This window comes from Homo sapiens, chromosome 1, assembly GCF_000001405.40.
Source record: "Homo sapiens chromosome 1, GRCh38.p14 Primary Assembly".
In the NCBI taxonomy this organism is placed as follows: Eukaryota; Metazoa; Chordata; class Mammalia; order Primates; family Hominidae; genus Homo; species Homo sapiens.
The window spans coordinates 202,377,405-202,404,148 of record NC_000001.11 but is presented as its reverse complement, the minus strand read 5'-3'; the positions used below and the strand labels follow the sequence as shown (position 1 = coordinate 202,404,148).

The 26,744-nt window shown below is 39.1% G+C and overlaps 1 protein-coding gene across 17 annotated transcripts in view, besides 4 other annotated features; it reads right to left on the bottom strand.

Annotated features, from left to right (window-relative positions):
* PPP1R12B (protein phosphatase 1 regulatory subunit 12B) overlaps positions 1-26,744 on the bottom strand; it is a 244,004-nt gene that overhangs the window by 188,554 nt on the left and 28,706 nt on the right. The window lies entirely within an intron of this gene.
* Positions 4,744-5,005: a silencer, noted in NCBI's record as "fragment chr1:202368272-202368533 (GRCh37/hg19 assembly coordinates)". NCBI's record gives its function as "represses an EF-1alpha promoter that drives an FKBP-Casp9 reporter gene in an ReSE screen in K562 erythroleukemia cells {active_cell/tissue: K562}" and the evidence as "EXISTENCE:reporter gene assay evidence [ECO:0000049][PMID:32094911]".
* Positions 23,798-24,328: an enhancer, noted in NCBI's record as "NANOG hESC enhancer chr1:202348949-202349479 (GRCh37/hg19 assembly coordinates)". NCBI's record gives its function as "activates a minimal SCP1, AML or CMV promoter by ChIP-STARR-seq in primed H9 embryonic stem cells {active_cell/tissue: H9 hESC(primed)}" and the evidence as "EXISTENCE:reporter gene assay evidence [ECO:0000049][PMID:30033119]".
* Positions 24,865-25,364: an enhancer, noted in NCBI's record as "H3K4me1 hESC enhancer chr1:202347913-202348412 (GRCh37/hg19 assembly coordinates)". NCBI's record gives its function as "activates a minimal SCP1, AML or CMV promoter by ChIP-STARR-seq in naive H9 embryonic stem cells {active_cell/tissue: H9 hESC(naive)}" and the evidence as "EXISTENCE:reporter gene assay evidence [ECO:0000049][PMID:30033119]".
* Positions 25,365-25,866: an enhancer, noted in NCBI's record as "H3K4me1 hESC enhancer chr1:202347411-202347912 (GRCh37/hg19 assembly coordinates)". NCBI's record gives its function as "activates a minimal SCP1, AML or CMV promoter by ChIP-STARR-seq in naive H9 embryonic stem cells {active_cell/tissue: H9 hESC(naive)}" and the evidence as "EXISTENCE:reporter gene assay evidence [ECO:0000049][PMID:30033119]".

Here is a 26,744-nt window from a genome sequence, read left to right as displayed (position 1 = left end):
AAGACAACAGGGAGGTATTGAGGTTTTTAAACCAGAGAGTGATACTAACAGAATTGTATCTTAGAATGATAATTGCAGTAGGAATATGAAGATTGAACCACTGGGAGGGAAAAACTCATGAGAGACACCAGTGAGGAAATTGTAATCTAGGCAAGAGAGGATGAGGTCTTGAAGTAAGGTACTGGCAGCTAAGACACTGGGGAGGACATGGATTTGAGAAGTACCCCTGAGGTAAAATGAACAGAAAGGGTCACTTATTAGAATGTCAGTGGTGAGAAAGGATAACATGGAGATTGTTAAGAGCTTAGGACCATGGGTGATTTGTGACACCACTTAGACAAAACAGGGAATATAAGGAAGTCTTAGAAGTCTTTTCTGTTTCTGATTCCCAACTAGTGCTAATTTCTCTTAAAGCCTAAGTGACTTACACTCAGGAACTATATTTGAGCAGCAAACTAACAAGTACTGTTGCCCTTTCCATATTAAATAATCCAAAAGTGAGCCTAGAGAAATCAGTGCCAACCAGCCCAGCCTCACAGCTGTTCCCTGCCCCACAGCAAAGTCCTGGTTGGGTCAGTGTCATGAATACCATGGCATGGGCCTGGCAAGGCATTATTGTACAGCAGCCCACACAACAGGGGAATTGAGGTTACAGTATAAGGTCTCAGCTACAGCTGAAATCTCTTTAAAGGCACGTGTTAGTGATAACAATGGTAACTTTACAACTCAAGAGGACACCCCCAATTTCTTCTCGAAAATTTTAATCTTTGGAATAGAAAATGAGTTGGTAAATTAAAAATATACTGTTTGGCCCATATGGTATTTTAAAATTAAAGATTTTTTGCACACAAAAATTCTATATTTGAAACTCCTTTTTAAAAATTAGATTACAACACTGGGGCCAGATTCCCACAAAGTAACAACTGGTTGGAGTTGAGTGGCAGCTGCCTTCTTTAGGCAGAACATGCGTTTCTCAGTGCCCCAGGCCCCATCTCTCTCTACTGTGTTACACCAAGCCTTCTTTATTAATTTGTATTACCTGCCCATCCCCTTTACTTTCTTATTTTCCCAAAAATTTTTATGAAGATGTTCAAACACAGAAAAGTTGAAAGAAGTTCACAGTGACCCCCCCATATACCCACACAAGCTATCGTCCACTATTAATGTTGTATTTGCTTTGTCATGTATCCATCCCTTCATCCATTCATCCCATTTCAGACATTAGTAATAATTTCTCCAAATACTTAACTATAAACTAGAGTTAAATACCTCTTTACAGTATTATTTTTCTTTTGAAGTAAAATTTACATACAGTGAAAAGCACGAATCTTAGGTATACATTCACTAAGTTTTGACAAATGTCTGTATATGTTACCCCTCACTGTAGGTGTTTGAGTTGCATCTCTCAGGCATCTGACCCCTTGGACAGAAAATTGTTTTTCTACATTGCTCTGACCTCAGCACTGTCCGAGGCCAAGGAAATGCTGGCTATGAGCAGAAACATAGTTGACCTCTCTTAAAGCTGCGTCTTGTTTCTGCTAGGCCTTAACAGTCCAAATCTGGGTATAATCAATTTTGTATATCTGATAATATAAATTCACTATTGAGGCTGAAAACAGAACACACACTAGAGATTAAGACTTGAGAAATCTGAACAACTTGGTTTTTTCCTGAAAGCATCAAGCATAATGATACAACAAAACATAGCCTGTAGTCCAAACTTCAGACTGCTATGTCCTAGAAGAAGGGAAGTAGAATGAAAAATACAAACCAATGAATAACACAAACATCCCTTGAGATCACAAATAGAAGAGTTAGATTCCACTCTCCCCGACTAGCTTACTGGTAGTACCAAGGTAACAAGAAAAGCTTCCGTGATTTGTTGGTAAGAGAAGTCATTCCTAAGTCCAGGAAAAGATCAGGAATAGCAAAAAGGTAGAAACCTCATGTTCCAAAAGTAGAATATGGACAGGTAAAAACCTGAAAGAGGACTCAAGATTCACTGTTAAGGCAAAGACTTTCCACATAGCCTGGCAAAGCAATGGCATCCCTTTATGGAAATGAAAATGAGAAACGCCCCCTGTCTCCTTTGATGGTAAGTGCTTACTTATCTGCAGTCAAATCCCAGCCTCCCAGAGCACTTCACTAGCAGGGTGCTCAGAATTAGGTGAAGCTTGCCAAGACAGAAAATTTCAGATGCTGTTGCAGAGGCACTGAAGGTTAAGGAAAGAGTGTGTGTTACCTTGCTTTCAATCTGTCTCAACTGTCTCATTTATAGAGTGTCCTCAAGCCCAAACTCTGAACAACTGTTATGTAGGACAGAGGTAGAGGAGAAATTTCAGAACAGAATGGAGGATGTTGTAAGATGCTGTATAGGCAAAAGAGTCTGACTTTAATGTCACAGCCCATCCTAATCTTTCCACAGCTAAGTTTCTTAGCTATACAAGAAAAACACCAAATTTAACCTTCTTTTTATTTCAGGGTTGATGTGAGGACACAAGACAACAAATATGAAAACAGATTTTTAAAAAGATAACTAGTACATAAGTCCAAGTATTGCTATTAACGTATGCTATTCTTTGTGTTAATTAATAAAACAAAATATACTGTGAGGCAGTATAGTGCATTGATTTAGAGCAAACTTTCTCTGTAAAGAGCCAAATAGAAAGTACTTTATTTGGGAGACCAAGGTGAATGAATTGCTTGAGGGCAGGAGTTCAAGACCAGCCTGGGCAATGTGGCAAGAATCTATCTCTACAAAAAAAAAAAAAAAAAAAAAAAAAAAAATTAAATTAGCCAGCCATGGTGGTGGACAACTGTAGTCCTAGCTACTCGGGAGGCTGAGATGAATAACTTGCTTAAACCCAGGAGGTCAAAACTGCAGTGAGGTATGACTGTGCCATTATACTCCAGCGTAGGTGCCAGAGCCTGACCCTGTCTCTAAAAAAAAAAGAGAAAAAAGAGAAAAAAGAAAGAAGTACTTTACACTTTGCAGATCATAGTCTCTTGCAAACATTCAACTCTGTCATTATAATGTAAAAGCAGCTATAGACAATACTAAACCAACGACTATAGCTGGGTTCCAGTAAAATTTTATGGACACTAAAAATCTGAATTTCACATAAGTTGCACATATCACAAAATATTTTACTTCTTTTTCAGCTAATTAAAAGTGCAAAACTATTTTTAGCTTATAGGTTGTACAAAAACAGGCAGTGGGCTGGATTTGGCCCATGAGCTATAGTTTGCTGACCCCTGATTTAGTGCATTGGCCAGAAAGTTTGAATTCAAATGTCAGCTGTGGAACTTAATAGCTATAAGACCTTGTATAAGTTACTTAACTTCTTTCTGCCTCAGTTACCCCATCTATAAAATGGGAATAACAGTACTATTTCTTTCTTAGTATTATTATGAAGATTACATATCTTTATATGGACACAGCAGTTGGAACAGTGTCTGGCACAACTTAACTGCTCATGCATATTGCTGTTAGCTATTATAAACCATTTCCATAACAATCTCTAACAATTCTGCAAGTGTGCCACACTTTCACATGCCCTCATATATTTACACATGCTGTTTCCTCTGCCTGGGATGCATTTTCCTGCTTAGAGCTTCTACATGGTCTGAAAGACTTAGTTTAAACATTACCTTCACTATGAAGCCTGCCTTGACTATTCTTCTCATCCTAGCAGATACTAGCCACTACCACCAGTTTCCCATTACCTATTGTAGTATATTGGATTTTATTGTAGTTATCTTTGATAGGTCAAATTCTCAGCAAGACTCCTTGTATGCAGAGTCTATGACTTACTAATTGTATCCCCAGGGCCCAGAATAGTGCTCTACACACACAAAGCATGTATTTGCTTAATGATATTAACAATACAGAAAGCAAGCTAATACATTAATAACGAGGATAGAAATCTCCTAGTTATGTGCCATAAAAAGGAACAAAATCATGTGCTTTCCAGTAACATGGATGCAGCTGGAGGCCATTATCCTAAGTAAATTAACACAGGAACAGAAAACAAATTCTGCATGTTCTCACTTATAAGTGTGAGCTAAACACTGGGTATTCATGGACATAAAGATGGCAACAGTAGACACTGGGGACTACTAGAGCAGAGAGGGAGGGAGAGAGAAAGGGAGAGGGGCTAGGGATGAAAAACTAACTATTGGGTACTACACTTGCTAACTGGGTGATGGGATCAATCATACCCCAAACTTCAGCATCACACGATATACCCATTAACAAACTTGTACATGTACCCCCTGAATCTAAAAGTTGAAATTATAAAAAATAAATGAAATAAGATCTTTTAAATCCATCATCAAGGAAAAACAAATATCGGCCAGGCGCAGTGGCTCATGCCTGTAATCCCAGCACTTTGGGAGGCTGAGGCAAGCAAATCACGAGGTCAGGAGATCGAGACCATCCTGGTTAACACGGTGAAACCCCATCTCTACTAAAAACACAAAAAATTAGCCAAGCATGGCGGTGGGTACCTGTAGTCCCAGCTACTCAGGAGGCTGAGGCAGGAGAATGGCTTGAACCCAGGAGGTGGAGCTTGCAGTGAGCCAAGATTGCGCCATTGCACTCCAGCCTGGGCGACAGAGCAAGACTCCATTTCAAAAAAAAAAAAAGGTGCGGTGGCTCACACCTGTAATCCCAGCATTTTAGGAAGGTAAGGAGGGAGGATTGTTTGAGACCAGCTTGGACAACAAAATGAGCCCTCATCTCTACAAAAAATTAAAAAATTCACTGAGCATGCTAACACATGCCTGTGGTCCCAGCTACATAGGAGGCTAAGGCAGGGGGATCGCTTAGGCCCAGGAAAATGAGGCTGCAGTAAGCCATGTACGCACCACTACACTGCAGCCCTAGGTGACAGAGCGAGACCCTGTCAAAAGAAAGAAATCTCCTAGTTATATGACAAATATGAATATAATTAAATATGAAAATAATTTCTAATATCCTATTTTGAGTAAAATTTACCATGTTAATATTCCATCCCCAGGCATATCCAGTAAGCATCCAGAGGTTGTCTTGGTGCTGTTATTAGTTGGTAGCAGATATCTTAGAATCCACACATTGATAATCACAACACTAGGTTTTAGAGATTCAAAAGCTCATCTCCCTCAATTTACAAAAAATATATATATATGTTTAGTAGTGAGGGGAAAAGGAAATAAAATAATGAAATGTGAAATTTCCACCAATATAACAATGTACATAGCAAAAACCAAGAAGTTAACAGAATGAAAGCCCTTTTTTGAGCCTTCTCTTAAACTCTTAAGGAAATAGTCAATCATCAAAAGGCTTCACCAAAGCCATTGAGAGAAGTATGCTTTTTCAGCTAGTCAGGATTCTAACTAAAACAGAGTTACTTGGGCAACATAAGACATTACCCTTGCCACTCTCAACTTGCCAAGAGTGTTGTGCCCCTTTGCTTAGACTTCTGCCAGGCAAGCTATGATACTGTGCCCAAATGATCCTGTGCCAGACACAACAATCCCTCTGACAGAAGGTTCCTTGTGTCTACTAATTCTAGGCTAACCAGCATGCCTGGCACACTGTCTCTTAAAAAAACCAAAGCTGTTTTGGGAGAACAGGTTAAAGGAGGAAGGGACTCCAACAACTAAATAGTGAATATTTTCCAAAAGGCAATTTAATATCATCAAAATCAATGAATGCTATAATAACGAAGAGAGTTCAGTGAAGATTCAGATCACAGCCCCCAGGTGACACTAACATGACAGTGAGGATGAAGTAGGAGCTTTACATTTTCTAAGTTTTCTAAGTTAATGTCACATATGTAAAAATCCCAGCTGTTTGCTGTGGAAATAATGACATCAGAATCACTTTGTCCTTGGGTTTTCGTTTTTGCTTCTTTTGTTTCTAATGTGTGTATGCATGTGCGTGTAATGCACTAGCTGAGAACTATCCATTTTTCCAGTGGTCTATTTCCCTCTTTCAGAGCATGAGATCATATACTATGAGAATCTGCCAAATTTAAGGAATTTGGCATACTGTCTCCTAAAAAAATCAAACATATAGAAAATACTTTTTAGCTGGGCACAGGGGCGCACACCTGTAGTCCAGCTACTCGGGAGGCTGAGGTGGGAGAATCACTTGAGTCCAGGAGGTGGAGGTTGCAGTGAGCTGAGATTGCACCACTGCACTCCAGCCTGGGCGACAGGGCAAGACTCCATCTCAAAAGTAAAAAAGAAAATATTTATGTTAGGACTATGCTGTATTCTTGCCAGTGCCATTGTTATTACTACTACCATTGCTATCATGATTTTCTTCAGTGCCAGAAAATAGCTACATGCATAGTATTTAATTATTGCTGAATTTGGACATTCTCATAATTGCTAACTCAAGGGATAGTAACTTTAGACACACTATTATCAACAACTTTTTTTCTTCCAATATGTTATTTTAATATATCTGACTAAAAGGATTGGGTTTTCTTATATTTTAGATCTAGATTAATTTCAATGGAATAATGTAAGTTATAATGCCATCCTTTCTTCCAAAAAACTCAAATTTTAAATATATCCCCATGTGTCTTCCCAAAAGTCCTCTAAGGAAGGGAAAGGTTGAGGAATATCATAATACTGGTGATAGCAGCCAATATTTTTTCTGGTCTATTTGAAGCTGGGCATGTGGACAAGACCTGGCAAGAGAGTAGTGTGAAAAGACAACCTACCACAAAGCTATGAGAAATTCTAGCATTTAAAAACCATGTAGGAAAGGATGAGTGAGTAAAGGTGGTATAACCAGAGAAGAGAAAAGAAAAACAAATTTAGCATGGAAGTCATAGGATGAAAGTGTTTCAAGAAAGAGTGGTTGATGCTGCTAACAGTCAAGTAAGCTGAAGAAAGGACATGTCAGAATTAGCAATGTAAAGGTCACGGAGGACCTGAGCTTGAAATGTTTCAGTGCAGTAATCGGGAAAGAGCAAGATTAAGAATGGAATGAAGAGTGAAAGGAAATGAGAGCATTGATAAGTCTTGAAAAATATGGCTAAGAAAGGGAGGAAAGAGACAGAGTGATAGATGGAAGCCAGGAAGGGGCCATAAAATGTTGTTATTGTAAAATGAAAGAGACTTGAGCATCTTTAATTATATTTAGAAGCATTCACATAAAAAGAAAAGGTTGGCGAATAAGGTTGGATAGCGTGAGATTAAAGAGAAAGGCTCCAAAATAAAGACAGAAGGATTAGCCTTAAATGGGAAAAACTCTCCACTGCAATAGGAGGGAAGGAAAAGAGAATGCCTCAGACATAGGTAGAGTGGTTTAGAGATAAAAATTGAGCCTGGGCAACATGGTGAAACCCCATCTCTACAAAAAATACAAAAATTAGCCACGCATGATGGCACGCACCTATAGTCCCAGCTACTTGGGAGGCTGAGGTGGGAGGATCACTTGAGCCCCAAAGGCATTGCTTGCAGTGAGCCAAGCCTTGCAGTGCGACACTGCACTTCAGTCTGAGTGACAAAGAGGGACTTTGTCTCAAAAAAGTAATAACAAATAAGAAATTCCCATCTAATTTCTCTGTTTTATCTGTGAAGTAGTAGTAATCACAGTAGTAACAGAGGTAGTGGTAGGAGCAATAATATCAGTTAACATTTATTAAGGGCTTACTATACATGGGTGAAACACTGCCCCATATATTGAATATTAATGAATTAATATTCATTAAACACTGCCCCACATAATGAATGTCAGTGAATTAATATTCATTAAATCCTCCTGGCAAGCTAATAAGATAAATATTACTATTATTATCATCATCATCATTTTTAGAAGATTAAGTAACATGCCCAAGGTCACATGGCTAAAAACTAAGGAGCCAGCATTCAAATCCAATCAGTCTGGCTCCAGAGCATAATTCTGAACCATTTTATTATACCAACTCTAAATGTAACAACCTATAGGGCACTAGAGACTTTCACAAGTCTCATGTTAAAGCACTTGTTAAAAGGGTTTTTTTGGTGCAGTGATAAACACAAAAGCCAGATCAGAGTGGTTGTGGAGTAGGAAGCAAAGCAGTAGGAGGTGGTATCGACTGTTCAGAAAAAGGGAGGAAGTAGAATGCTCAGAAGGGTGAGGAGCATACAGAAGTATGAAATGATCATTCCAGAGAAATGAGTGAGTTGGCCAGGGACATACGACTGGGTTTCCAGACAATGGAAAGGATCTATTTGAATTTGGGGACCATGAATGTAAAGTGATAAAAACGTATACTATTTGGTGATTTTCATCCACTTAGGTGTAACCACAGAGAAATCAGAGTTAGGTTCATCCAGTTAGGACGTTGCCAGATAAGTTCAAAAATTTCAGAGAGGTAACGAGTTTAGGGTTTAGGGAAAGTGTTATTAAAGTAAACAGAATCTAAGCAAGAGAAGAAGGAAAGCTGATGAATTATAAAGAAGTAAATGGGAAAAAGAATTGGAAGTCCCAATTAGAACTGGTTATAATAGCAGTGATTGAACTAGCAATTCCACATTATGGCCAAAAAGCCAGATGCATTAGAGGAGGAGCAGATATAGGTGACATTTGTGTCGTGGGTATAACTGTGGAAATGGGTGACAGAGCAAGGTGGAGGGAAAAATCACCCAAAATGAGAAACATTTTCAGGAACAGTCACCCAAGTGAATGTTGGATGATTTGATAGCAAAATGAGATGGAGAGTAAGTTGTGAGCTAAGTCTTTGATGAATGAGGGAGTTAAAAGGTGGCATGAGAATCAAGGGAGCGGCGGTATTTTATTTTTATAAGACAGTATAAGAAATAATGCTCAGGAAGTGACAATGGGGAACAACATGGTCCTAATACTGCTTCCTAACACCGAGTTATGTGAGACAAATGAAACCTGAACAACTTGAGAGGGCTTAAGTCTATGACAATAGCAGAACTAATGCTGTGGGTTCCTAACTTCCAAACCAAAGCTCCATCCAATATCAGGTATACTATAGCTTTTTTCTTCAAATTGATTTTCTTTCTTTTTTTTTTTTTTTTTTTTGAGAGAGTCTCACTTTGTTGCCCAGGCTGGAGCGCAGTGGCATCATCTCAACTCAATACAACCTCTGCCTCCCAGGTCTAAGCAATTCTCATGCCTCAGCCTCCCAAGTAGCTGGGATTACAGCGCCCACTACCACATCCAGCTAATTTTTGTATTTTTAGTAGAGACAGGGTTTCACCATGTTGGCCAGGCTGGTCTTGAATTCCTGACCTCAGGTGATCTGCCCAGTCTCCCAAAGTGCTGGGATTGTAGGCGTAAACCACCAGGTCCAGCCCAAATTGATTTTCTTTTCTTTTCTCTTCTCTTTTATTTCTTTTTTCTCCTTTCTCTTTTCTTTCCCCTTCCTTCCTTTTTTTTTCTGAGACAGAGTTTCACTCTTGCTGCCCAGGCTAGAGTGCAATGGTGCAATTTCGGCTCACCGCAACGTCCGCCTCATGGGTTCAAGTGATTTTCCTGCCTCAGCCTCCTGAGCAGCTAGGATTACAGGCATGCGCCACCATGCCCGGCTAATTTTGTATTTTTAGTAGAGATGGGGTTTCTCCATGTTGGTCAGGCTGGTCTTGAACTCCCAACCTCAGGTGATCCGCTCGCCTTGGCCTCCCAAAGTGCTTGGATTACAGGCGTGAGCCACTGTGCCCGGCCCCAAATTGATTTTCTTAAAGTAATCTAGTAACACAGAGTATATTTTTATTGTTAAGAGAAAAAAAATTAAAATCTAACTACAATATATCCTGCTAAAATACTGTCCAGATACTTATGTGCTTACATGTACTTTTCATATATCTTTCAGAATTTTTTTTTTCTTTTTTTGAGATGGAGTCTCGCTGTGTCGCCCAGACTGGAGCGCAGTGGTATGATCTCAGCTGCGATCTTGGCTGGCGCGATCTCAGCAGTGGTGCGATCTCACTGCCACCATGCCCGGCTAATTTTTTGTATTTTTAGTAGAGATGGGGTTTCGCCATGTTAGCCAGGATGGTCTCGATCTCCTGACCTCGTGATCTGCCTGCCTCAGCCTCCCAAAGTGGTGGGATTACAGGCGTGAGCCACCACACCCGGCCATCTTCCAGAATTTTTAAAAGCGTAAATGGGGACATATTATATGTACTTCAGTGAGTTTTTCTTTCTACTTACAATATTCTTATAGAATGTTCTTGCATAGTGTTAGTACAGGTTTATGTAGGTCTACCTCTTTTGTTTTTTATTTATTTATTTATTTTTTAGAGACAGGGTCTTGCTATGTTTCCCAGACTGGTCTCAAACTCCTGGCCTTAAGCAATCCTCCTGCCTTGGCCTCCCAAAGTGTTGGGATTACAGGAGTGAGCCATCATGCCCAGACCTGGGTCTACTTCTTTTGTTCATAGCAGCAAAAGATTTCCATACTGTGAATATCTAACCATTCCCCCATTTATATAAATTTAGGTTTTTCCTTAATTTTTTACTATAAACAAGGAATAAAAGAACATTTTTGTACATACATCTTTCTGTACATATGCTAGAATAAGGAAAGAAATAAAACTTAGGAGCCAAATGATCTGCATATATTTTTATAAATTCTGCCAAACTGCCTTCTGAAAAGGCTTTGCCCATTTACAAGACAGTTAAGTGCACCCATTTCCCCAATTCCATATCAATATCCATGCTTGAAAGAACTAATTCTTTTGGTTCAAGGAAAAAAAAAAGAACTAATTTTTAAATTTCTGTTAAAGAACTGAAAAAAAAAAACACTGTTTCGATTTGCGTTTTGCTAATTAACAATGAAATCTGAGAAGTTTCTCATGTGTTTTAAATTTTTTTTAATGTTAAAACAGCTATACTGAGATATAATTCACATACCATACAATTGGTCCATTTAAAGTATATAATTTCAGGCTGGACACAGTGGCTCACTCTTGTAATCCCAGCGCTTTGGGAGATCAAGGTAGGTAGATCACTTGAGGTCAGGAGTTTGAGACCACCCTGGCCAACATGGCAAAACCCTGTCTCTACTAAAAATACAAAAAAATTGGCCAGGCTTGGTGGTGTGTGCCTGTAGTCCCAGCCCCTGAGGAGGCTGAGGCACGAGAATCCCTTTAACCCAAAAGATGCAGGTTGCAGTGAGTTGAGATCGCACCAGTGCACTCCAGCCTGGGCAATAGAGAGAGATCCTGTCTTTGGAAAAATAAATTAATTAAATTTAAAAGTATATAATTTCAAAGGTACTTTTTTTAAAAATTATAGTCATAGATAAGTGAAACCATCACCACAGTCAATTTTAGAAAATTTCCATCATCTCAAAAAGAAGCCCTGGGTTCAGGCACGGTGGCTCATGCCTGTAATCCCAGCACTTATGGGAGGCTTAGGCAGGTGGATCACTTGAGCTCAGGAGTTTGAGACCAGCCTGAGAAGCATGGTGAAACCCTGTCTCTAGCAAAAATACAAAAAATTAGAAATTAGCCAGGTGTGGTGTGGGCCTGTAGTCCCAGCTACTTGGGAGTCTGGGGTGGGAGCATCACTTAAGCCCAGGAGGCAGAGGTTGCAGTGAGACAAGATTGCGCCACTGCACTCCAGCCTGGGTGACAGAGTGAGACACTGTCTCAAAAAAAAAAAGAAAAAAAAAAGAAGTCCTGTATCCTCTAGCTATTGCTCCTCAACCTCTTACCCTCCCTCCTCCTATCCCTAAGCAACCACCAACCTACTTTCCCACTCCAGAGATTTCCCTATTCTGGACTTTCAAATAAATAGAATCATATAATACGTAGACTTCTGTGACTGACTTCTCTTAGCATCTGTTTTCAAGGCTCATCCAAACTGTAGCATGAATCAGTATTTCATTCCTTTTTATGGCTAAATAATATTCCATTGTATGGATACACATTTTGATTATCCATAAGCTGATGAACATTTGGGTTGTGTTCACCTTTGGTTATTATGAATAATGCTGCCATTAACATTTTTGTGTAAGTGTTGTATGGACACATGTTTTCATTTATCTTCAGTACACCTGAAGATAATTCATTTATCTTCAGTACACCTGAAGATAATTCATTTATCTTCAGTACACCTGAAGATAATTCATTTATCTTCAGTACACCTGAAGATAATTCATTTATCTTCAGTACACCTGAAGATAATTCATTTATCTTCAGTACACCTGAAGATAATTCATTTATCTTCAGTACACCTGAAGATAATTCATTTATCTTCAGTACACCTGAAGATAATTCATTTATCTTCAGTACACCTGAAGATAATTCATTTATCTTCAGTACACCTGAAGATAATTCATTTATCTTCAGTACACCTGAAGATAATTCATTTATCTTCAGTACACCTGAAGATAATTCATTTATCTTCAGTACACCTGAAGATAATTCATTTATCTTCAGTACACCTGAAGATAATTCATTTATCTTCAGTACACCTGAAGATAATTCATTTATCTTCAGTACACCTGAAGATAATTCATTTATCTTCAGTACACCTGAAGATAATTCATTTATCTTCAGTACACCTGAAGATAATTCATTTATCTTCAGTACACCTGAAGATAATTCATTTATCTTCAATACACCTGAGTAGAATTGCTGGTATGGACATATGTTTTCATTTATGGGAGTAGAATTGCTGGATCATATGGTAACTCTATGCTTAATTGTTTGAGGAACTGCCAGACTGTTTTTCAGCGGCTGCCCCATCTTACATTTTTACCAGCAGTATATGAGAGCTCCAATTTCACCACACCCTCACCAATACTTGTCATTATTTGACTTTTTGGTTCTAGTCATCCTAGTGGGTACAAAGTGGTATCTCATTACGGTTTTCATTGCATTTCCCTGATGACAATTGATGTTGAATATCTTTTCAGGTGCTTATTGGTCATTTGTGTATCTTCCTTAGAGGCATGTCTATTTAGATTATTTGTCCATTTTTTAATTGAGATATTTTTTCTTATTATTAAGTTATTTATTTATTATTAAAGTTCTTTATATATTCTAGATACAAGTCACTTACAAGATATATAATTTGCAAATATCTCTCACTCTGTGGGTTGTCTTATCACTTTCTTTTTTTGGGGGACAAGGTCTTACTCTGTTACCCAGCCTGCAGTGCGGTGGCACGATCTCAGCTCACTGCAAGCGATGCTTCCAGGTCCAAATGATCCTCCCACCTGAACCTCTCCAGCAGCTGGGACTACAGGTGTGTGCCACTATGCCTGGCTAATTTTTCAAATTGTTTGTAGAGATGTTGTCCTGCTATAGTGCCCCAAGCTGGTCTTGAACTCCAGGACTCAAGTGATCTACCTGCTTTCTCGATAGTGTCAAGTATTTTAAGCTTTTAGGCCAGGAGTGGTGGTGGCTCATGCCCATAATCCCAACACTTTGGGAGGCTGAGGTGGGAGGATCAGTTGAGGCCAAGATGTTGAGACCAGCCTGGGCTCCATAGCAAAACCCATATGAAAAAAAAAAAAAAAAAGCTGGATGTGATGTCACACACCTGCAGTCCTTGTTACTTGGGAGGTTAAGGTTGGAAGATCACTAGAGCCCAGGAGTTTGAGGTTACAGTGGGCCATGATCGCACCACTGCACTCCAGCCTGGGCAACAGAGTGAGACCCTTCCTCTTAAAAATAAATAAATAAAGCTTTTAATTTTTATGAATTCAAATTATTTTTTCTTTTGTTGCTCATGCTATGGTGACATATCTAAGAACCTTTTGCTAAATCCGAGGTCATGGATCCAATTTGATAGCTCATCATTAAATTCAATCAATTAATCAATCCGAGGTCATGGAAAACATTACTGCTATGTTTTCATCTAAGAGATTTATAGCTTTAGCTTTTACATTTAGGTCTTTGATCTATTTTAACTTTTGTATGGTGTGAGGTAAGACTCCAACTTCATTCTTTTGCATGTTATCCAGCTGCCCCCTGTACCATTTGTTGAAAACACTATTCCTTCCCCAGTGAATGGTCTTACCTTTGTCATATATCAGTTGACCATAGTTGCACGGATTTCTACAATCTCAATTCTATTCCATTGATGTACTTGTCTACCTTTGTGCTGATACCACACTGTCTTGGTTACCATTGCTTTGTAGTAAGTTTTAAAATCAGGAAGTGTGAGTCTTCCTACTTTGTTCTTCTTTTCAGGATTGTCTTGGCTATTCTGGGTCCCTTGCAATTCCATGTGGATTTTTTTTTTTTTTTTTTTTGAGACAGAGTCCCGCTCTGTCGCCCAGACTGGAGTGCAGTGGAGCGATCTTGGCTCACTGCAACCTCCGCCTCCCAGGCTCAAGCAATTCTCCTGCCTCAGCCTCCCGAGTAGCTGGGACTGCAAGCGTGCACCACCATGCCCAGCTAATTTTTGTATTTTTAGTAGAGACAGGGTTTCACTATGTTGGCCAGGCTGGTCTCGAACTCCTGACCTCGTGATTTCCCGCCTTGGCCTCCCAAAGTGCTGGGATTAGCCACCTCGCCCGGCCTTCCATGTGGATATTATCTCATATGTTTATTACTTAACTACTTCCCATTGTGCAGTGGCACAATCTCGGCTCACTGCAAGCTCCACCTCCCGGGTTCACGCAGTTCTGCCTCAGCCTCCCGAGTAGCTGGGACCACAGGCGCCTGCCACCACACCCGGCTAATTTTTTGTATTTTTAGTAGAGACGGGGTTTCACCGTGTTAGCCAGGATGGTCTCGATCTCCTGACCTTGTGATCCACCCGCCTCAGCCTCCCAAAGTGCTGGGATTACAGGCATGAGCCACCGCGCCCGGCCGGTTAAATTTTTTAAATTGTTTATATAAAGAGTTCATTACTCTGGATATTAATCCTTGATCACAAAATCTTTTTCCTGGTCTGTCATTTGTTTTTCAACTTTTTTTAGGATGTTTTTTGTCATAGAAAAGTTCTGAGTTTCATTTTACTCAGGAAGTCTTCTCCCTCCCACCTCTTCCTTGCTTCCTAGTTATAAAAATATTCACCTATATTTCCTTCTAAAAATTATATTAACTATTTGATTCCTTGGAACTTACTTTTCAGATGGTGAGAGTTAGGGGGTATAATTTTTTTCCCCAAGTAGAGAGCCAACTTTCCTAACACAATTTTTACCCCATTAATTTGAAATGTCACCATTATCAAAATTAAATTCCTATCTGTAATTGAGTCTGTTTCTGGAGTCTCTATTTCTTTCATTTATCTGTTTATCTATTCCTCTATCAATACTATAGCATTTTAATTACTTAACTATATTTTGACATCTGGTAGGTCAAGACTCACCTCATTGAATTTTGAGGGATTTACTTGACTATTTCTGCATATTAATTCTTTCAGATGAAATTCAGGATGAGCTTGCCAAATTTTTCCATGGAAATTTTGACTAGAGTTACATGGATTTTATAATAAAAACAATAATAGCAAACACTATGGAGCCTACTAAGTGTCAGAAACTGTTTTAAGATCTTTCATATATTAATTCTAACAATTCTATGAGGTAGTTACTATTGTAGTACTACTAGATCAATATTAAGAAAGAGAGATGATACAATACTATTTCTATCAGTAGCTCCACTTATTTAGGCCTTCTTTCATGTTCTTTATAATAAAGTATTATATTTTCTTCCTACAAGTTTTATAGGCTGGGCGTGGTGGCTCACACCTGTAATCCCAGCACTTTGGGAGGCCAAGGTGGGTGGATCACTTGAGGTCAGGAGTTCAAGACCAGCCTGGCCAACATGGTGAAACCTCATCTCTACTAAAAATACAAAAATTAGCCTCGTCTCTACTAAAATACAAAAATTAGTGGTGGCGTGCGCCTGCAGTCCCAGCTACTCAGGAGGCTGAGGCAGAAGAATCGCTTGAACTCAGGAGGCAGAGCTTGCAGTGAGCCAAGATTGTGCCACTGCCCTTCAGCCTCGGTGACAGAGTGAGACTCCAGCTCAAAAAAAGAAAAGTCTTATATATTTCTTCCTGGGCAATTATTCCTAAGGATTTTGTGATTTTTTCTCTTTTTTTTTTTTTTTGCTGCTTCTATGAACAGGATCCTCTTTCCCATTACATTCTTAAATGTATACCTATTATATTCCAAATGATGGTTTGAAAAACTATTTTGTATTGATTCAAATTAAATTTATATAATTTTTTTTCTGAAATTTCATTTACCTTAGAATTATTCTGCTTTTAAACAATGGCTAGTCTATCCCATAACTATGTGTTAATCCCACAACTAATTTGCATATATTCTTACTGTGTGACACAGGGCAATTCAAAGACTTGCTTTAAAGGTAAAGTGACAACACTCCTATCTTCCCAAATCTGCTATTCAGAATTACCCTACGACACTAGATTAAACTTCTAGTGCATCTATTATAGAAAACTGCCTTCTCACCCAGTAGAATGTGACCTAGAAGATCACAACAGTCAAATCTGAAGGGATAGGCAGAAACGGATCAAATAGGGAGTTTGTTTTTGAACAGTCTAATGACTGGCCTTTTAATAAATCATTAAATAATCCTTTTCTACCTTACCGGAATCAGGAAAAAAAAAAATCTTGTACCATCGAAACATTAAAATGAAGCCAAGTTTAAGGAGTAGCCAAATAGCTAGCCGGCACATTTAAGTTGTCTTTTTGGAGTTACAGCTATCTAGTTAACAACCTCAGAGATTAATTCAAATGAACCTGAAATAGCAGTATACCAACAGAGACCTCACTCCTTAGGCTTTCAGGGTGCCAAAGTCTTCACTTAATTAAGACTAAGCAGAGATGATCCCCATATCTTTTTGAGACTAAGTTTCACCTTTCTTGCTCTGAAATTTTAGAACTCAATGAAACCTTCTACATAACTGGTAGTAGCCCAGCCTATTTTCTGGAGCAGTTAGTCTTGTTAATATGCCACACTGACGTTGTTGACAGAGTATGCCAACTTAAGGCTGAATGGCAAAAACTCAAAGGCTTAAAATAATGTTAATACTTTGTTTTCAAAGGCTATAGTAAAGGCCAAGAGCAAAGTCATTCTTCCAGCTTAACAGCATTGGAAAGACCACAGCAAGTACCAGAAGGCTTTCTGACACAAAATCAATAACTGCATGCAAATATAAACATCAATAGTTGCATCTTCTTAGTCACTAGACTAAGTTAGGACTAGCAATGAACAAAAGCTCTTCTAAAATGTTCTTATCACCTAACTTATTTTTATTTCACTTCTCCATTCCTCTCTGTAAAAGAATAGGATGCCATGAAAAGTTGTGTAATTCCATTATTTTAATTGCAGTTTGGCAAAGTCCTTAGGCGAAAATATACCTAAATATATTCTCATGAAAATGGCCTTCATGAAGACTAGCATATTATAAAAATCAAACAACAGTAGGATAAATATACTACCCACGGGAGAAAAAAAAAACAACAAAACCTCTGTCAAAGTGTTAAATACAATAGTACTTCAGCTCTTTCACTATTATTTAGTGCCTTAAATTTGCCAAATGTCAAAGAAAGTCAACAGAACATATTAAATACACAGAAACCCAGGCCAGGCGCCGTGGCTCACGCCTGTAATCCCAGCACTTTGGGAGGCCGAGGCAGGTGGATCACGAGGTCAGGAGATCGAGACCCCGGTGAAACACCGTCTCTACTAAAAATACAAAAAATTAGCTGGGCACAGTGGCGGGCACCTGTAGTCCCAGCTACTTGGGAGGCTGAGGCAGGAGAATAGTGTGAACCCAGAAGGCGGAGGCTGCAGTGAGCCAAGATTGCGCCACTGCACTCTAGCCTGGGTGACAGAGCAAGACTTCGTCTCAAAAAATAAATAAATAAAAATAAACAAATAAATACACAGAAACCCATCATAAGTATTCAAATTTACATTTACATTCTGAAGTTAGCCATGTATTTTTTACTATAGAAAAATAGCTCTTGAGTGGCTGGGTGCGGTGGCTCACGCCTGTAATCCCAGTACTTTGGGAGGTCGGGTGGATCATGAGGTCAGGAGATTGAGACTATCCTGGCTAACACGGTGAAACCCCGTCTCTACCGAAAACACAAAAAATTAGCCGGGCATGGTGGCGGGCGCCTGTAGTCCCAGCTACTAGGGAGGCTGAGGCAGGAGAATGGTGTGAACCCGGGAGGTGGAGCTTGCAGTGAGCCAAGATCGTGCCACTGCACTCCAGCCTGGGTGACAGAGCAAGACTCCGTCTCAAAAAAAAAAAAGAAAAAAGAAAAATAGCTCTTGAGGCACTTGCAAATCTTATGGTTACAGCAGTCTCCTTATTATAATTGTCCCTTCATCCCTTGCAGTAAACCTTTTGAATAAAATCCTTACTAAAAAAGCAAAACAAAACAAAACACAAAAACACAAAAAAACCCTCTTGGACTAAACATTTAATCCATAATAATATGACAAAGGAAAATGTGACAGTTATTGTATGATTGAAATAGATTTAGCTGTGAGCCCTTGCACAACTCACTTCACCTTCCTGAACCTCAGGTTTTTTGATCTGTAAAAATGAGAGGGTTGAGCTCTATGATCACTAGGGTAGCTTCCAGCTGTATTATTCTATACTGATCTCAGCCCCCAAAGACTCTAGGACAATTTCCAATAGATTTTAATACCCTAAAAAACTCGAGAAACAACTAAAATGAATGTTTTTATTTTAGTAATGAGTTTATGTCAAGATTTTTATGGTGTTTGCTGGTGCTATTTGAATGAGCTTCTTTTTTCCAGATGTTGAATCTGAAGTTGAATTTAGATATTTCTTTTTAAAACATCTAGTACAGAACACAACACTTCCTCAACTAAGAAGAAGCCACTGGGAAAAAAGAACTGCTGCATGAAGAAGAAACTACTGAGAGGGATGGTAAAAGATGTAAACAGTCTAAATAATATGCAAACTGAACAGTCTAAGCATAAATTGTTCAGATGTAATTTTCTGAGATGCTAAGGAAGATTTTCTGTAACAGATCTGCCCAATCTTTCCCTGATTTTCATAAACCTTATATGAAGTTGGTCATGCACAAACCCCAAATATAAACCAATACATCACTTGGGCCTTGATATTTTGCAGCTCATCACCAGGAAATCCAAGCAGCAATAATCAAGAGCCATTTGCAAATAGCATCACACTCTTGGCATTGTTTGAGAATAATCAATTAAAGAATTATTATCAGTTTTAATCTGAGAAATTAGTGATATAAAAATATGACAACAGCAATTGTAAGTGGAAATGTAGAGCTTTCCTACACAGTTGGAGGAAGTGTACACTGGCATAGCCAGTCACTTTGAACATCACTTACCCAGTGAAGATGCACAAATGTTTAATCTTTCACATAAACCCTAGGAAAATTCTAACACATTTACACATGAAACCATGTACAAGAATGCTCACAGTAGCACTATAAATTTTTTAATTGTCTTTTATAACATCTTCATTGAGATGTAATCAACATACCATAAAATTCACCTTCTGAAAGTGTACAATTCAATGGTTTTTAATACATTCATAGAATTGTGCAACCATCATCCTATGCAATTTCAGGACATTTTCATCTCTCCAAAGAGAAACCCTGTTCCATTAGCAATCACTTTCCACTCACCCCTTCCCCCAAGCCCTTAGCAACTATTAATTTACTTTCTATTTCTGTGGATTTGTCTTTTCTAGACAGTTCATATAAGTGAAATCATATAATATGTAGCCTATTGTGTCTGACTTCTTTCACTTCGCGTAATGTTTTCATGGTCTATCCAAGTTGTAGCATATATCAGTACTTCAATTCCTTTTTATGGCTGAATAATATTTCATTTTATAGCTATACTACATTTTGCATATTCGTTCATCAGTTGATGGACATTTGGGCTGCTTCCACCTTTTGGTTATTGTGAATAATGCTGCCGTGAACAATGATGTACAAGTTGTTATGTGGGCATATGTTTTTAATTATTTTGAATATATACCTGGGAGCAGAACTCATGGGTCAAATGTTAATTCTTATGCTTAACATTTTGAAGAACTGCTAGACTGTGTACCAAAGTGGTTGTACCATTTTACAATCCCATCAGCAATGTATGAGGCTCCAATTTTTTCATGCCCTCACCAATATTTGTTATTGTCCGTCTTTTTATTAAAGCCATCCTAGTGGGTGTGAAGTAATATCACTTTGTGGTTTGGATTTTTATTTCAACATTATGTATCAAAGGCAAACAAAAGAAAAGCAAACAAGCAACAACATCCTAGAAACAACTTACATGTCCATCAGTAAGAAAAGAAATAAATTTTGGTATAATCATACACTGGGCTACCACACAACAATGTAAAAAATAAATTATTGTTATATGTATCAATGTGAAGATAAATGAATAGGTGCTGTGTATATCAAAAGAGATACATCTTAACAAATATAATTTAGATTATATCTTTTTCTTTTTTTTTGAGACACAGTCTTATTCTGTTGCCCAGGCTGGAGTGCAAGGGTGGGATCTTGGCTCACTGCAACCTCCACCTCCTGGGTTCAAGCAATCCTTGTGCCTCAGCCTCCCGAATAGCTGTGATTACAGGCGTGTGCCCCCACACCCAGTTAATTTTTGTATTTTTAATAGAGACAGAGTTTAGCCATGTTGGCCAGGCTGGTCTTTAACTCCTGATCTCAAGTGATCTCCCTGCCTCAGCCTCCCAAAGCGCTGGGATTACAAGCATGAGCCACCAAACCTGGCCATATGGGAAATTTTAAAAAGCACATAGCAAAAGGATACATAGAATATGATGTCATTTATAGATCATAAAAATGTAAGACAATATTATAAAATATTTAGGGATACATTCCTATGAAGTAAAAAATATGAAGATATATTCAACTGTATTGCTAATGGTCTATCTCTTAAGCTGACTTTCATAAACCTTATATGAAGTTGGTCAGCTGGGCACAGTTAAACAATATCTCATAAGACTTCTTAATTTAATAAGATGGGATTGTAAAAAGCATTAGGGCTTCCTCATATCAAAATTCCAAACCCTAAGGCAGTTAGACTATGCAGTTCTTAAAACATGAACAATTGCAAACTTAATTGACTTGAAATTTTTTAGTTACTTGTCCTGGATGAAGAGAATATGATGACAATTTCTTTTTGTTCTATAACTATCTCTACATAATGAAACCAGTCTAAAAAATTTGATGGATCAACAAGATTTAAACTTTATTGATATCACTATTAAATAATAATATTACAAAGTACTCTTGGATTTTATATACACATCTCACAGTCAACCTTTTTTTTTTTTTTGAGACAGAGTCTTACTCTGTCCCCCAGGCTGGAGGGCAGTGCCACAGTCTTGGCTCACTGTAACCTCTGGCTCCAGGGTTCAAGATATTCTCCTGCCTCAGCCTCCCGAGCAGCTAGGATTACAGGTGCATGCCACCAGCCTGGCTAATTTTTTTATTTTTAGTAGAGACAGGGTTTTGCCATGTTGCCCAGGCTGGTCTTGAACTCCTGGCTTCAAATGATCCACCCCCCTCAGCCTCCCAAAGTGCTGGGATTACAAGCGTGAGCCACCATGCCCAGCCACAGTCAATTTTTTTAAAGCTCTCAAAGAAATTCATTTCCTCTAACTTAAGGTGCTTTGTTTTCCAAACTTTCCAAGTTGGAGATTTGTTTCTTTTTTTTTTTTGCCTTTTTATTTTTATTTTTTAAATAAAGTGGGTTTTTTTCTTTTTCTTTTATATATATATTTTTTTTATTATACTTTAAGTTCTAGGGTACATGTGCACAACGTGCAGGTTTGTTACATATGTATACATGTGCCATGTTGGCGTACTGCACCCATTAACTCATCATTTCCATTAGGTATATCTCCTAATGCTATCCCTCCCCCCTCCCCCCACTCCACAACAGGCCCCAGTGTGTGATGTCCCCCTTCCAGTGTCCAAGTGTTCTCATTGTTCAATTCCCACCTATGAGGGAGAACATGCGATGTTTGGTTTTTTGTCCTTGCCACAGTTTGCTCAGAATGATGGTTTCCAGCTTCATCCATGTCCCTACAAAGGACATGAACTCATCATTTTTTATGGCTGCATAGTATTCCATGGTGTATATGTGCCACATTTTCTTAATCCAGTCTATCATTGTTGGACATTTGGGTTGGTTCCACGTCTTTGCTATTGTGAATAGTGCTGCAATAAACATACGCGTGCATGTGTCTTTACAGCAGCATGATTTATAATCCTTTGGGTATACACCCACTAATGGAATGGTTGGGTCAATTGTTCTACAATTGTTGGTTTACAGATCCTTCCAGCCCTTTGTTTCTCTTACTAACTTACTGTTGCCCTAATAATTCTGGACTTTATGCTACTCACTAGTCCATGAGAAGGTTAGGAGAAAGGACAAAGGTAAAATTCTAATATTAACATGCTACGTATTAACAGATACCATAAAGGAAGGATTTGGAATTATTTGTAGATATCCTTTCCTTAGGCCATTCCCAGAAGCCATGGAAAATGCAATACTGACTTTCCTTCTTGGACAGTCTTCAAGCTGGTCTAAAAGCTCTTAGAGTTGAATATGCCAGTAGCTAGATGTGGGTCCCTATTAGCTTAGGAAAAACACTGATGGAAATTTTCCTATGTCATAATTGAAAGCCAGGATGAGCAGTTACCTGTCTAGAAAGGACTGCTCCATGAGTAGTCTTGGCCTAGGCTGGAGGAGGCAGTTGAGGGATGATACACACACACACACACACACACACACACACACACACACACCCCAAAGCTCATCAAAACCACTCCCACGCTCATCAATACAAAGGAAAAATACTCAGATATCTAGATCAGGTCAAACCAAAAGGTCCTTTTTTTTCTTTCCCTTTTCTTCCTTTTTCTCTAAGGGTAAGATAGATAATCACTAGGGACTCTTGCCCCCACTGAAATTCAGAGAAGAAATAGAGTTATTGTTCTTACACTGAATAATTCCAAATAACCTTGAGGTCCTTTGGGGATTTCAATAATCTGAAAAGTACGTATGTATGTACACATATGTATGTATGGAATGTGTGTGTGCAAGGGAATACAGACACATTTATATGAGAAATGTATATGTATAAAAATCCCGGAATGCTATTGAGATACAATTTATGTACACGTCAATAAGAGAGAGCATCTATGAATAAGAAAGAGAACGTGGGTAGTCATTAGTAAAGGAAGTAATTGCTTTATAAATTCTAGCACTATCAGTGCAATCCAATTAATTACCCTAACAACCGCATGAACACTTGATCAAAAGACAGTGACTTTCAAAGACTACACTATAGATACTTGAGATTTTAATACTTCAAGTGTTAGAACAGAGCATGACTCAAATATGAAGAATTCAAAAGGCATATACACAATCATTTGTTTGGTACAAGCACAGGAGATCTTCAAAGGGATACACTCAAGTTCAGAGTAATAATTTACCAGAAAAGTCAGGAAAAGCTCTGGAATCTGTAACCAAAGCAGGCAACAGCGAAGAAGAGAGAAGGTATCTATTGACACTGAGAAGACAGAGCCAAGGAATGGGGGGGGTGTTGAGAATATAAAGCTTCAGGGCTCTACTCTCAGGGGAAGAGGTGGGTATACAGCTTGAACATTCACTCTAAAATGGATAAGAAACAAATACAATAACCCAAAGTTCAAATCATGTTCACAGAAATTGTTTCAAACACATTTTCTTCTTTACTCACAGGTCATATCAAAACCATTTTATAAAACTCTCCACTAGGGCAACAGCAGCCCTGGGCTGGAAACTCTAGGTAAATAATGAAACTCCTTCACCTCCTGAGTCTTCTGCCTGCCACAGAACAACTTGTTGTTTGTGTAAGATAATATCACCTGTGGTTTGCTAAACCAGCAACAACGTATCATGAGAACAAGAAGGAAGGATGAATAAATCCTGACAGGGTAGAACTTCACAGAGGAGGTGACACCTGAGCCAAGCCTTGAAGTGATTAGGAGGGTTTTACGAGGCATAGAAGGGGAGCAGGAGCAGTTAAGCAAAGAGAACGGTATGAACAAAAAGTTCATGGAGTGCTCAGGAGATGGCAAATAACAAATGAGAAGGTATGTGAATGAGGTTGAGGAATGGTAGGGAAAAAAACTGGTAAGACAGGTTGAAAGCATTTTATATGCGTTTTTACTCTGCATGTGAATGGCTTCAAAATGCAAAATTGCATCAGAATCTCTGGGATACCTGGTAAAAATACAGATTCCTGTGCTGTACTCCAGATCTACTAAATTGAAATTTCCAGAGTTGGGGCTCAGGCATCTGTATTTTTCTTTAATTGTCCTCATTCTTAAACAGACAGAATCTGCATTTAATGAGTATTCTGATGTATAACCAAGCTCGAAAGCCAATGATGGATTGTTTTTTAAAGAAAAGTTATATCATTAGATTGGTATTTTAAAAATAACAAGGTACTATTAGAAATAGACTGTAAAGATGTGAAATTAGGGGAAAAAATAGACCTATGGCAGACTATGGCAATCATGCATTCATTTATTCAACAAGAATTTTAAAAATACCTACTATGTACCTACAAGTTCCCATAAAGATGACAGTCTCAACTAGAATACTAGCAGTGTAAATGGAGACAAGAAGACAGAGTTATGAGACATTACACAGATAGAACTGACAAGTCCTGGTAACTCAGTAGACGGTGGAGATGGGGACGGAGGGAGCAAATCAGTTTTCATCAGTGATTTCCAAACTTGGATAAGCATCAGAATAAAAGATTCCTGGGTCCTACCATAGACCTAATGAATCAGGCTCTTTGGAGGATACAGTTCAGCAGCCTCTATTGTTAACATGTGCCCCCAGGTGATTCTCATGCAGTCAATTGGGAATCAATGACTTAAATGACTGAGTGGCTGATGATATTTCTTTTCAAGAAGAGAAAACAGGAGGAGCAACAAATTTTGTGATAGGATGAGAACAATTTTGCTCTGGAAATACTGAGACCGAGAGAAACCTGTAAGACATCTACATCAAGATGTCTAATGGGCAGCTGGAAATGCATATCTTGAGTCCAGGAAAAAAGTCAAGTCTAAACAGGTCAGGGTCAGACAGATCTCGACATCATTAGTACATAATGAGGGATGAGGCCATGGGAGTGGGTAAGGTTACAAAGACGAAAGAATATAGAGAAAGTGGGTTGGGGTAGAAATCTGGGCAAAGAGTGGGCAATGGAAGAGGAATCGTGAGCAGAAGAGTGATTCAGGAGGTAAGAAGAGGATCTGAGGGGAAAAAAAGCATTGTTTTGGAAGCCAAAGAATAAGCGTTTTAATTCATATGGAGATCAAGTAGATAAAACGTTATAAAATGCTCCAAAAGGATAAGAACTAGAAAAATGGCCGGGCGCGATGGCTCATGCCTATAATCCCAGCACTTTGGGAAGCCGAGGTGGGCGGATCACCAGGTCAGGAGTTGGAGACCAGCCTGGCCAACATGGTGAAACCCCATCTCTACTAAAAATACAAAAATTAGCCGGGCGTGGTGGCACATGCCTGTAATCCCAGCTACTCAGGAGGCTGAGGCAGGAGAATCGCTTGAACTTGAGAGGCAGAGGTTGCAGTAAGCTGAGAACGCACCATTGCACTCCAACCTAGGTGACAGAGCAAGACTCTGTCCCAAAACAACAACAAAAAAAGAATTAGAAGGATGATAAGGCGTGGCATTTAGGAAGTCTGCGATGACCTTTGAGAAAGCAGTTTCAGCATAATGGAGCAAAGTAGCAGAGTGGGTTTACACTACTCCTTAAGGAGAATTTGAAGAGAAAGGAAAGAGATGGGTCAGTGGTTTGCAAGACAGGTAAGACTGAAAGAAAGTTCTTTTGGTGGCCATTTTTAAGAATAAAGACCAAAAAAAAAAAAAAAAAAAAAGAATGAAGACAACTTGAGGCATTTTAAGGAAAAGAAGAAGAGAGCACAGAACGGATGCTTAATAAATATTTGTGAAATATCAGTATTCTCAAAATCTTAAAACTGTCTTTGGCTGGGCGCGGTGGCTCACGCCTGTAATCCCAGTACTTTGGGAGGCTGAGGCGGGCGGATCACGAGGTCAGGAGATCGAGATCATCCTGGCTAACACGGTGAAACCCCGTCTCTACTAAAAATACAAAAAATTAGCCGGGCGAGGTGGCGGGCGCCTGTAGTCCCAGCTACTCGGGAGGCTGAGGCAGGAGAATGGCGTGAACCCGGGGGCGGAGCCTGCAGTGAGCCGAGATCGCGCCACTGCACTCCAGCCTGGGCAACAGCGAGACTCCGTCTCAAAAAAAAAAAAAAAAAAAAAAAAAAACACCTGTCTTTGACCTTTCTTTCTCCTGCTCCCCATAATCAGTAAGTCTCAACATCCTTTATTTTTCTTAAATGCCTATTCACATCTTACTTTACTGTTCTCTTAGATGCCTTTCACTATTGCCCTAGAGGCTAATAAGCTACTGTACATCTTAACTCATCCCTCCTTCCTCCAATCAATCCATCCAACACAGTCTTATCAAATTAATCACTTAAAATACTACCCTTCTCGCCGGGCACGGTGGCTCACGCCTGTAATCCCAGCACTTTGGGAGGCCGAGGCGGGCGGATCATGGTGTCGGGAGATCGAGACCATCCTGGCTAACACGGTGAAACCCCGTCTCTACTAACAAAATACAAAAAATTAGCCGGGCGTGGTGGCGGGCGCTTGTAGTCCCAGCTGCTAGGGAGGCTGAGGCAGGAGAATGG